The following is a 13052-nucleotide window of genomic DNA, read 5'->3' on the forward strand; positions in this document are numbered from 1 at the left end:
TTAAAATAGTACTAAATTTCATGTGGAAAGAAACTTCAGATTCTCAGCACCTTATCTTCCTTAGCGATTTCCACTCTAGCCCTCAATGTTATTAGGTAAACTCTTATCTCAATTGTTGTTTTCACTGAGTGCTATCTAACCATAATGAAAAAGGGAAAAAAAATAGAGTCCGAATTATCCATAACTGCCTCTGCTTTCTGAGAAAGGCAACGTGATTCTTTTTCAGTGGAGGAAAAACCTCTCTATGGACTTTTTTCACCCCATAACAGAGAGATTAGTGGGAGAAAGAGAAGAGCTTGAGATTCCTGTCTATCAGGGCCTTTGGAAATTCAAATTGTGTCCCAGAGCTGAATTCTCCAAAAGAATGTACAGAGATTTGGAGGTGCGGGGGAGAGAGGGCTAAATAGTTTGGCGGGAGGCTGGAAGCTGAGCTGGTAGATAGGGTCAGAAGACTTTTTAAGAACAAAGACTGGAGACTTGAGGTGACTCCATCTTCACTATTACTTCAGATCTTTCTTATAATGTGCTTCATAAACACACACCTTGTGTGAAAGCTGCTTTTGAGAAAAAGAAACGTATTTTATGCGACGCAGGGTGCAACAGGAGCGGCGCATGTGGGGCAGTGAGAAATTCCTTCCCCTGACCCGATTCAGCAGTGAAGGTGATCAGAGCAAATAGGAACTGGACTGCTTCACGCTCCTCAAGGACTTTAAGGAGTGTGTCTTCCACCACCCACAGCAAAGGGCTCAGAAAATTTTATCTGAACCTCCTGACATCTGAGTTATACAAACTAAGACAAAGAATGGGAAGCACATAGCAGCCACTGGTCCATTACAGTTCTAAAGTCCAGCCAGGCGCGTATTTACCCGAGATAGAAAATGTTCCTTAGTCAGGGTCTAGTACTGCTCACTGGAAGTAATTCCCCGATCCACTCTTTTTTTGAGGCTCTTTAGTTCATCCTCTGTGCTCTTGGCTCTGCCCTCCAAGTTGTCCTTCATTTTCATTAGAAGTAGCTTTCACAATCTGCTGCTTGCCCCTAAAAACTGGGGACCCAGAGAGTTCATTTCATTTTGAAATAATGTCCCTGCTCCATTTAGTTAGAGCTGGCTTTAGCAAGTATGCAGCAGGGGACTAATATCCAGAATTTAGAAGGAATTCAAATGACTCAACGACAACAACAAACCAATAATTCCATTAAAAAGTGGGCAAAGGACATGAATAGACATTTTTACTTTCTTTTTTGTTTGTTTGCTTTTGAGACAGAGTCTCACTCTGTCACCCAGGCTGGAGTGCAGTCGGGTGATCTTGGCTCACTGCAACCTCTGCCTCCCGGACTCAAGCAATTCTCCTGCCTCAGCCTCCCATGTAGCTGGGACCAGAGGTGTGTGCCACCACGCTTGGCTAATTTTTGTATTTTCTTCTTAGTTAGAGATGGGGTTCCGCTGTATTGGCCAGGCTGATCTCGAACTCCTAGTTAAGTGGTCCACCCGCCTCGGCCTAAAGTGCTGGGATTACAGGAGTGAGCCATCGTGGCCGGCCAAATAGACATTTTTCAAAAGAAGACACACAAATGACCAACAAGCATATGAAAACATGCTTAACATCACTAGTTATCAGAGAAATGCAAATTAAAACCAAATGAGATATCATCTTACACCAATCAAAATGGCTATTATTATTATTATTTTGAGATGGAGTCTTGCTCTGTTGCCCAGGCTGGAGTGCAATGGTGCAATCTCAGCTCACTGCAACCCACGCCTCCCCGGTTCAAGCAAATCCCCTCCTTCAGCCTCCCTAGTAGCTGAGATTACAGGAGTGCCCCACCACGCCTGGCTAATTTTTGTATTTTTAGTAGAGACGGGGTTTCACCATGCTGGCCAGGCTGGTCTTGAACTCCTGACCTTGTGATCCACCAGCCTCGGCCTCCCAAAGTGCTAGGATTACAGGTGTGAGCCATGGCGCCCAGCCCAGAATGGCTATTATTAAAAAGACAAAAAGTGGCAGATGTTGGTGAGGATGTGGAGAAAAGGGAATGGCTTACACATTGCTGGCAGAAATGTTAATTAGTACAACCTCTATGGAAAACATCATGGAGATTTCTCAAAGAAATAAAAATAGAACTACAATTCGATCCAGCAGTTTCGCTACTGGGTATCTACACAGAGTAAAGAAATCATTTTATAAAAAAAGATACCTGTACTCATGTATATCACAGCACTCTTCACAATAGCATAGATATCAGCCTAAGTGTCCATCAACAAATGATAGGTAAAAGAAAATATTTGTCTATATACACAATGGAATGCTATTCAGCCATAAAAAAGAATGAAATGATGTCTTTTGCAGCAACGTGGATGGAACTGGAGGCTATGATCTTAAGTGAAACAACTCAGAAACAGAAAGTCAAGTACTGCATGTTTTCTCTCATAAGTGGGAGCTAACCGGTGGGTAAACATGGATATTGAGTATGGATGATAGACAGTGGAGATTAGGAAGGGTGGTGAGATAGGGAGAGAGAATGATAAATCACTTGGTGGTACAACCTATGTTATTTGGGTGATGGGTAACCTAAAAGCTCCGACTCCACCACTACACAATGTATTCATCTAACAAAATTGTACCACATAAATATATACACATTTTAAAAATTTAAAAAAAAGTTCTGAGTTCTTGTTGAGTCTTATTGAGGATCACACCATAGCAGAAGGACTACATCCATAATTCTTTCTAAGATGCGCTTTTCTGTACTTTGGGCCACATGTGAGGCTGCTATGGTAAATGCTCTTAAGATTCTTAGAAGTCCAACTGTCTAGTTGAGAAAGTCTACTAGGTGCTGCCTTAAATCTTATAGAAGTTTTAATAAGGGATCTTGGCTGGGCACAGTGGCTCACACCTGTGATCCCAACACTTTGGGAGGCCGAGGCGGGTGGATCACCTGAGGTCAGGGGTTCGAAACCAGCCTGGCCAACATGGCGAAACCCCGTGTCTACTAAAAATACAAAAATTAGCTGGGCATGGTGGCACATGCCTATAATCCCAGGACTCAGGAAACTGAGGCAGGAGAATCGCTTGAACCCAGGAGGCAAAGTTTTCAGTGAGCCAAGTTCATGCCACTGCACTCCAGCCTGGGCAACAGAGTGAGACTCCATCTCAAAAAAAAAAAAAAAAAAGATGGGCATTTTACCTTATTAAAATAGTAATCATAAGGGAGCTTATAGACAAACCTTTTTTTTAATGTTTACTTACCTTGGCCATTTCTTACTTTGAGAATGTTTTGCTGGCCGGAGATGCTGTCCTGGGCCCTCTGTTTCTTCTTACTGCTGCCTAAAACCTAAAGAGTTCTTTCTTTCCATTCATCTCTTTCTTCCTGCACTTTATCTTCCTGCACTTTACTAAAACCTAAAGAGTTCTTTCTTTCCATTCATCTCTTTCTTCCTGCACTTTATCTTCCTGCACTTTACTAAAACCTAAAGAGTTCTTTCTTTCCATTCATCTCTTTCTTCCTGCACTTTATCTTCCTGCACTTTACTAAAACCTAAAGAGTTCTTTCTTTCCATTCATCTCTTTCTTCCTGCACTTTATTCTGCACTTTCTTCCTGCACTTTGTAACTTTCTTCCTGCACTTCATCACTTTCTTCCTGCACTTCCTGCACTCTCCATTCATCTCTTTCTTCCTGCACTTTTAACACAGGTAAAAGAAGCCAATTGTACTTTCAATATTTTACCTAAAAATCTCCTTATTCAGATCAAGTTCATTAGCTATATTTTATTTCTGTCTTTCATGACATTACAGGTGACAATGTGGCCAAAAATCTCACTACTATGTAACATCTTTTGTCACGCTTCCAAAAGCAATTTTCTCACTGCTATTGCAGGCTTCCTAACAATTTCCTCACTGCCCTTCTAGCCTCTGCTGCCTCCCAATATCAGAGCCAATGACAAATGTTTTAGGGTTTGGTTATGGCAGTATCCCACTTCCAGATAGCAATTTCTGTTTCAATTATCTACTGCTGTGTCATAAACCCGCCCAGCATTTAGTGGCTTAAATCAATATCCATTTTATTGCTCACAATTCTGTGGGTCAGGAATTTGGGTGAGGGCTGATGGCAACAGCTCATCTCAGCTCCAGTGGGGCTAACTGGGAAAGATCCAAGCTGTCGGCCGGCTCGGGCACCTTGATTCTCCTGTCTGTGGCCTCTCATCATCCAGACCCTGTTCCTTTCCATGTAGCGTCTCCAACAGGACACGCTGGACTTCTTTACACACCAGCTGGCTTCCAAGAAGGCAGAAACAGAAACTGCTAGGCCTCTTATGGCCTAGGCCCAGAAGTCACAATGCCACTTCCAGAGCTTTCTGTTGGTTAGATCAAGTCATGAAGCCAATCTATATTCAAGGGAAGGGGAAAGATATTTCATTTCTTTGCTGGGAATGATACATCACAAAACAGCATGCAGGATAGGATGGATTGGGGTGACCATTTTTAGAAAGGACCTACCTCTCAGAAAGAGGCAAAAATTCATGAACTGAAATACTCTCTGAGACAATCTCTATTTTATAGTCTAGCAATAAACCAGAAGTTCAAGCTCTGCTCTCTGGCTATGTAAGCAAACTGAGGTCAGAAAGGAGTTCAAGCAACAACGAATTGATACAAGGCTGCTGTTACAAGATTCTCATCTATAGTGGTTTGGTCTTTGCTCGAGCATTTTGAGAGACAAACTGCCTCCAAAGGAGACCTGTTCCACAATTGAATAATTCTAAAGTCTATAACAATCTTCCATTTGCAAAGTTCAACATTGCCTTTCTGTGACTCCTCCCATGGTCAGATATCTGCCCTCCAAGGCCACTGAAAGAAAGGCTACTCCCTCCTCAATATGGCATTCATTTAAATCTAAATATTTTCAGACACTTTTCTTGACTCAAGACTTCCTAACTTCTTTACCTGTCTATCATGTTAAGTCATTATTTCCCAGAAACATGTGTTTATGTATAACACATACAATCCATAGAATAAAATTTGCCCAGAATAGTATGTTTAAGAGGAAAGAAAAGTATGTAATAGATTATTGAAAGTTTCAAAATATCTGGTGGTACAATGAGTGAGTTAAACATTTATCTGGCTTAACCATTCAGTTTGATCTTGTGGAAATCCAGTGCTTGGAACTTATCTTGTCCTAACTTTTTCATAACATAGTCACTGTTTACCTGAATAATTGTCTAAATGTAGTGTCCTTTATGGTTGGTTAGTATTCACTGGGTGATGGGGAAAAGAAATACATAAATCCTGAGAAAAGCTGAAAGCAAAGTTTATTCTTACAAATGACAAAAAATGCCCAGATACAACAGACTCTCTGTTTGATGTGTGTGTGCCAGAATGAAAACTATGGGTCTGAGGCACCTTCTTTTTAAAAAAAAAAAAATTTTTATTTGCATAGGTTTTTGGGGAACAAGTGATATTTGAGTACATGAGTAAATTCTTTAGTGGTGATTTGTGAGCTTTTGGTGCACCCATCATCTGAGCAGTATATACTGCGCCCAGCGTGTAGTCTTTTATCCCTCACCCCCTTTCCACACTTTGTCCCTGAGTCCCCAAAGTCCAATGTATCATTCTTATGCCTTTGCATCCTGAGGCACCTTCTTCCATAAGCACCATCCAGAAGGAGAAGTGGTTCTTCAACTATGGCTGATGGGAGCAAAGTGCTGAAGCAACTATGACTGGTTGAAAGACCATTTCTCCTGTGAATGGTGCTTATGGAAGAAGGTGCCTTAGACCCAAAACTAGAGTGAGGCTTTTATTGGTTGGGGAAGGTGGCTATAAAAAGATAAGAATAATGAAAAGCTATGACCAATTAAAAAAAATGAGAACTTAATCACAGCCTTATCGACCCACAACCAGGGGTCCACAAATAGCCTTAATTATGACTTATGTTATTAAGATAACAACCCCAAATTTTCCGGGCAGCAATTTTTTGGTGCCAATATTTTGGTCTTTTGCTTCCAAAGACTAGCCTTTTGATAAAGTCAGACAGCTCTAAAATGTATGTGTTTAAGTTCTATAAATAGACATACATTTGAGGATATATGAAAGGAGCAAAGTATTTATCTCACCACACAGTTAAGAATTTTAAAAACATTCATTGTTGGATAGTGATTTTTAAAACATTAAAATAAGTGGAACGATTGCTTTGAATTTATGAAGAATAACACATATAATTAATGACTTTTCTATTTGTATTATACTTGCTTAGATGGTTCAGGCTTAGTAAGAAAGCTATTGATAGTAGAAAACAATGTGTATATGTAATAATAAAGAAATAACGTGGATTGTTAGTGAATAGAAAATAGTCCTTTTGGCCAGGTGTGGTGGCTTATGCCTGTAATCCCAGTACTTTGGAAGGCCAAGGCAGGAGGATCACTTGAGCCAAGCAGTTCGAGACCAGTCTGGTTAGCATAGTGATACCCTGTCTCTACACAAAATTAAAGTAAAAAAATTATCTGGGGGTGGTGGCGCACACCTGTGGTCCCAGCTACTTGGGAGGCTGAAGTGGGAGGATCCCTTGAGCCCAAGAGGTTGAGGCTGTAGTGAGCCTTGATTGTACCACTGCACTCCAGCCTGGGTAACAGAGTGAAATCCTGTCTCAGAAAGAAAGAATGAAAAAAAGAAAGAAAGAGAGAGAGAGAGAGAGAAAGAAAGAAAGGAAAGAAAGAAAGAAAGAAAGAAAGAAAGGGAAAGAAAGAGAGAGAGAGAAGGAGGGAGGGAAGGAGGGAAGGAAGGAAGGAAAGAAAGAAGGAAGGAAGGGAGGAAGGGAGGAAGGGAGGAAGGGAGGGAGGGAGGAGGGAAGGAAGGAAGAAAGAAAGAAGTGGATATGTTTTGGATGTTTATCCCCTCCAAATCTCATGTTGAACTGTAATCCCCCATACTGGAGGTGGGACCTGGTGGGATGTGTTGGATCGTGGGAGCAGATCCCTCGTGAATGACTTAGTGCCATCCCCTTGATAATGAGTGAGTTCTTGTTCAGTTGGTTCACGTGAGATCTGGTTGTTTAAAAGAGTCTGGGACCTCCCCCTTCTCTCTCTCTCTCACTCTCTCTCTCACCGCGTGACCCTGCGTGCCCTGATTTAAAGCTTCCTGAGGCCTCACCAGAAGCTGAGCAGATGCTGGTGCTGTGCTTGTACAGCCTGCAGAAACTGAACCAAAAAAACCTCTTTTCTTTAGAAATTACCCACCCTCAGGTATTCCTTTATAGCAATGAAAATGGCCTAACACAATAGTCTTTTGACTATATTTAGTTTGAAGATAGTTCCAGATATTTCCCTACATTACTTTCTCATCTTTAGTGAGCAAATGGTATACTGAAACTAGATAGTGATGGTGGTGCGACAATGTGCGTGTACTAAATGTCTCTGGATTGTACACTTAAAATGGTTAAAGTGGTAAATTTTATGTTATGTATATTTTACCACCACAACAAAAAAAACCTTTCTTTTTTTTTTTTTTCTTTTTTTTTTTATTTGAGATGGAGTCTTGCTCTGTCGCCCAGGCTGGAGTGCAGTGGCACGATCTCAGCTCACTGCAACCTTTGCCTCCCAGGTTCAAGTGATTCTCCTGCCTTAGCCTCCCCAGTACCTGGGATTACAGGCACACACCACCATGCCCGGTTTATTTTTGTATTTTTTTAGTAGAGTCGGGGTTTCACCATGTTGGCCAGGCTAGTCTTGAACTCCTGACCTTATGATCTGCCCGCCTCTGCCTCCCAAAGTGCTGGGATTACAGGTGTGAGCCACCACACCTGACCAAAAATAACCTTTCAAAACAAACAAACCAACAAAAAACACCCATAGTTCACCTAAATATGCCTGAAAATGTACTTTGCAGGGAACCTAAAATCTGGGATTTGAAGTAAAAAAGGATAACCCCAAGTTGAATTTGTTAAGATTGCCCACCTTTTCTTTGCTGACAACTGGCAAATGGTTTGCTAACTTCTGGGCAGATGAGAGTTCAGTCAGCACAATCAACAAAGAAGTGACGTTCACTCGGGCCCAGGCAGGCCTATGTGCTGGGAGCTTTTGGACCTTAAATTGGTCTGAGTTCACTGTTGCTCCAGTTGCAGACAGGAGCAGGCAGGTTCAAGAGTTTCTGATGCTTTGCTGTCCAGCAGTCAGCTGACCATGAGCACAGCCGGCACAAGCAGCCCTTTATGCTGGTGAGAATCCTGCCAGCAGTGCTGAGGCACAATCCCTCCTTTATGTGTTCCCTTTGCACATTTGTATTCTTGGGGCCTTTGGGATTTTTGTTGCTGCAGATAATGGGAAATGGGTGTCGGTGGGTGTTACGAGCAGGGTTTTCAGTAGACTAGGAAGAACAACTGGTTAAAAATAAAATAACAATAGTGACAAATAGGAAAGGTGGGCAACCTCAGGCAGTACAGCTCCTGAGCAAATGCTTCCAGCTTTTACCCTAAAACATAAGCAACTGGGCACAACTCCAGGCCTTGACTGTCTCATTGGCTGATAGGAATAACTACTAGGAACTATTAAGATTACCTGATATTCTGGCCTTTTCATAATTACAGTGCAGCCTAGTTGATGTTGTTGGAACATGATGGTTCTTTGATAGAAAAGTCTCTACTTTCATTACAAATGGAAAGTGCAAATCAGAAGGGTTTGTACCATTTGGGGTTAGGATCCAAAACATTTGTTCCACCAAGGGGGAAAAGGTCCAACTACAACAAGTTATCTTGAGATTGTCCAGGGTGTTCTCTAAAGCCCTAAATCCAAAACTTTTCCTTTTTTGAGGCAGACTCTCACTCTGTTACCCAGGCTGGAGTGCAGTGGTTCCATCTCGGCTCACTGCAGCCTCCGCCTCCCAGGTTCAGGTGATTCCCCTGCCTCAGCCTCCCGAGCAGCTGGGATTACAGACGTGTGCCACCACGCCTGGCTAATTTTTTGTATTTTTATTAGAGACGCGGTTTCACCATGTTGTCCAGGCTAGTCTCGAACTCCTGATCTCAAGTGATCTGCTGGTCTTGGCCTCCCAAAGTGTTGGGATTCCAGGCGTGAGCCATCATGCATGGCCCCTGCATCTGAAACTTTAATGTGCATGCGGATTCAAATGGGGATCTTGTCAAAATACAGTTTCTGATTTTGAAGATTTTGCATTTCTTTTTTTTATTTTTATTTTTATTTTATTTTTTATCTTTGAGATGGAGTCTCGCTCTGTCGCCCAGGCTGGAGTGCAGTGGAACAATCTTGGCTCACTGCAAGCTCTGCCTCCTGGGTTCACGCCATTCTCCTGCCTCAGCCTCCCAAGTAGCTGGGACTACAGGCGCCCGCCACCACATCTGGCTAATTTTGTGTATTTTTAGTAGAGACGGGGTTTTACAGTGTTAGCCAGGATGGTCTCGATCTCCTGACATCGTGATCCGCCCGCCTTGGCCTCCCAAAGTGCTGGGATTACAGGCGTGAACCACCACGCCCGGCCGAAAATTTTGCATTTCTAACAAGGTTTCAGGGAGTACTGATGCTGCAGGTCTGAGGACCACACTTCAAGTTGCAAGGCTGTCAGGAAGTGAGAGCTAGCTAGGGGGAAACTAGCATCATTTCAGTTAGGTCTAGTATTGCTGCTAATTTACTGAAAGTTTTAAAATGTAGCTTTTCTGTAAAGAAACAAACAGGACATTCTAACTAAACAAAGTGCTGTGAAATCAGTCATTCACACTGGGTAGCTAGAGCTACTGTGTCTCAACTGGAGGAGGCACCATCTCCAGTGGATCATTTAGAAACGTAGAGGGTGGCTACTGGTATTTGGTGCCTGGGGGCCCAGGGCACTAAATGTCTGGTAATGTGTGGAAGAGTTCTGCACAAATAATTGTCCCACTCAAAACGCCAAGAGAGCCCCCCTGCCCCGCCCCATTCAGGTACCCGAGCTACACCAGTGGAGATGGAGGCTGCACCCATACCTGAGACCTCAGCCAATCAATTCTATGGCCATCTCCTTGAGTGTGTCATCTGGAATAGAAGATCCTGCCCATGTATTGTAGCTCATCTCTTTAGAACTTTGACTGCCCTTGGAATTCTCCAGTGGGAAGAGTGGCCTCTGTCTAGTGTACCACATGTGGTTCCATAGCTTGATGTATTCTCTCAGCAAAGGATGAGATCGACAGGAAAGGCTTCAGGAAGCCCTACGGAATTTGGATTCATCAACATTTTGAATCAAAAATCAGAAAAGGGAACATCCAGTGTTCCCCTTGAGACGATACCCTCAAGTGCTGCTGGTGCTCACCTCCTAAACTCCTAAACGGGGCTGTGACCAGCTTGCCTAGTGCCAACGACAACAGCTCCAAGGCATCTGGGCCTATCAAACTTCCACTGCGTTCTTTTCCACAAAAGAAAGAATCCCACAGCGCTAGATTTGCTGGCCATCATGTCAAACAAACTCTGACCTCTGATCCCAACACAGTGTTGAACATTACAATGAGGATGTTAGAAATTCTGCTGGAGACTGAGTTGAGGTAAAAATAGATACAGGGGCTGGGCATGGTGGCTCACACCTGTAATCCCAGCGTGTTGGGAGGCTGAGGTGGAAGGATTACTTGAGGCCAGGAGTTTAAGACCAGCCTGGGCAGCATAGCAAGACCCTGTCTCTAAAAAAAAAAAATTTTTTTTTTTAATTAGCTGTGTGTGTTTCCACGTGCCTGTAATCCCAACTACTCGAGAGGCTGAGGCGGGAGGATTGCTTGGTCCCAGAAGTTGGAGGAGTGCAATGAGCTGTGATCCCGCCACTGCACTCCAGCTTGGTCAACAGAGCAAGACCACATCTCTAAAAACAAAGACACAGATATGAGAAATAAAATAGGGATGAAAGGAATGAGTTAAGACAATGTTAGAGAAGGATGACGTAGTAAGAAACCTGAAGATAACGAAAACCCACATTAACCTAATGTTGCAGAAAAGAGGGCTTCATCATTGTTGTCTGAGAAACTTGTGAGTAAAAGACAAAAATAATACATATTGTGAGAAATACATTCAATACAATATAAGGAAAATATTCTTTAGCTTCTTGAGACTCCATGAAGTTCAAGAGTTAGGAAATTCTGAAAAGGGTTTGGCAGGGTCATAGTGATTCCGTCTGGAAAGGGTTTGTTTGTGCTTGGTCTCAGGGCTGCTAGGAAGATGGGAAATGTCTCTGGCACTCCAGGAGAGCAATTACTCTGTGCCATGACTTCATGTGCCCCCTCACCATGATGCAGTGCCCCATGGGAGATGTTCTGTCACTGATCCCACTGTCTCACTACATTCCAACAGTCCAAAAGACAGGCAAAAATTTAGACTGATAACTTTTTTTATTAGTCTGATTTAAAAATTAGTTACACAAGTAAAATAATGTCTGTATCACACTCATAATCACGTGTGCACATGAAAATGTTAGCTCAGAGGAGGTTGAATGCTTCTCCAGTGCAGACTTCCTGGAAAGCTGGAAAGCTGGGCAATGGCTCAGGGGCCCCTGGGCACAGCACTGTCTTCTCCTGAATGAGAATCAGCTGTGCTGATGCCTACGTTAGTTCAAGAACCAGGAGCTGCATAAACAAGCTTTTGAGAAGTATGCCAGAAGAAGCTCAGATTGATGATGGTGTGTTTGACAAAATTAATGAAGCCATGCTTATTAGACTGAAAGATAAGATTCCAAATGTGAGAATACAGGCAGTTCTGGCGCTTTCACGACTTCAGGATCCAAAGGATGATGAATGCCCAGTGGTTAATGCATATGCTACTTTGATCGAAAATGATTGATTTGAATCCAGAACTTAGACAGGCAGTGTTATCATGTATTGCACCATCAGCAAAGACTTTGCCAAAAATTGTAGGGTGCACCAAGGATGTGAAAGAGGCTGTCAGAAAGCTGGCTTATCCGGTGTTAGCTGAAAAGGTTCGTATGAGAGCTATGTCCATTGCTCAGACAGTAATGCTCCCTCAACAAGGTTTTAATGAGAGATGAGATGCTGTGAAACAAGCTATGTGGAAGCATCTTCTCCAAAGCTGGTTATGGTTCTCTGAGGGAAATATCTTCGAGTGGCTTCAGCAGTTGGATGTAGAAAATTCTGAAGTGGCAGTCTCTGTCCTCAATGCCATGTTTTCAATGACTCCTCTCAGTGAACTGGTGGCAATCTGTAAAAACAATGATGGCAGGTACATAAAGGATTCATTCTTTGAAATGTAATACTGATTAACTTCTACAATTAATTTGTTTTTTTTCCTCCCCATAGCTTAAGATTATATTAATATCTTTAATCTTACCTCCCTTTTGTTTTCTTTTAGTCTGATGAATATCTTCTTTCCCTTCTTTTTTCCCCTCCTGGTGTAAGAACTCATTACTTTATCTTAGACTATCTACTTTAGCTGTGGTTTTCTACCCCTCGGTTTCTTACTTTGATTTTTGAATTAGCCTACCATGAGAAAATCCAGCAACATGCACCCCTAGTATATGTTTGCTTATTTGGTTCTTTTTTGTTCTAAGTTCCTTCATTCCTTTCTGTGTTAATGACTCTAATTAAAAGGATAGTGGTTTTAAAGCAAATCTTCTTATTCTTATTTATGTTCTCTTCAATTTGTAATGATATAAAGATCATGCTTTCTCTTACACTCTTTCTTTTAAGTGAAGGAAATTGATTCTAGTGGAAACGTTAACTCCTGAAATTGCTTTGTATTGGTGTGCCCTTTGTGAATATTTGAAATCAAAAGGAGATGAAGGTGAAGAATTTTTAGAGCGGATTTCGCCAGAGCCTGTAGTATATATAGACTATTTACTGAGGTAAATTTTTTTTTCTTTTAGTTTGGAGAATGCTTGTGTTGCTGCAACTGTTAACCTCCCAGCCCCCTTCCTCGAGGTCATGCTTGATTGTGAATATGTTAAAAATCCTTTTTTTTTTTTTGTACATGCCGGGATAGTTATATACATTGAGTCTTTTTGAATATCTTGTATATCTTGTGCTGGTCTGTATAATGAAAGAGCAAATCATGTTTAGGATCATTTCTTCAAAACTATTAAGATATGATTA

At 42.1% G+C, this 13052-nt stretch overlaps 1 pseudogene; it reads left to right on the plus strand.

Moving 5' to 3' along the window:
- NCAPGP2 (non-SMC condensin I complex subunit G pseudogene 2) lies at positions 11577–12811 on the plus strand (annotated as a pseudogene).

Source organism: Homo sapiens, chromosome 15, assembly GCF_000001405.40.
Source record: "Homo sapiens chromosome 15, GRCh38.p14 Primary Assembly".
In the NCBI taxonomy this organism is placed as follows: Eukaryota; Metazoa; Chordata; class Mammalia; order Primates; family Hominidae; genus Homo; species Homo sapiens.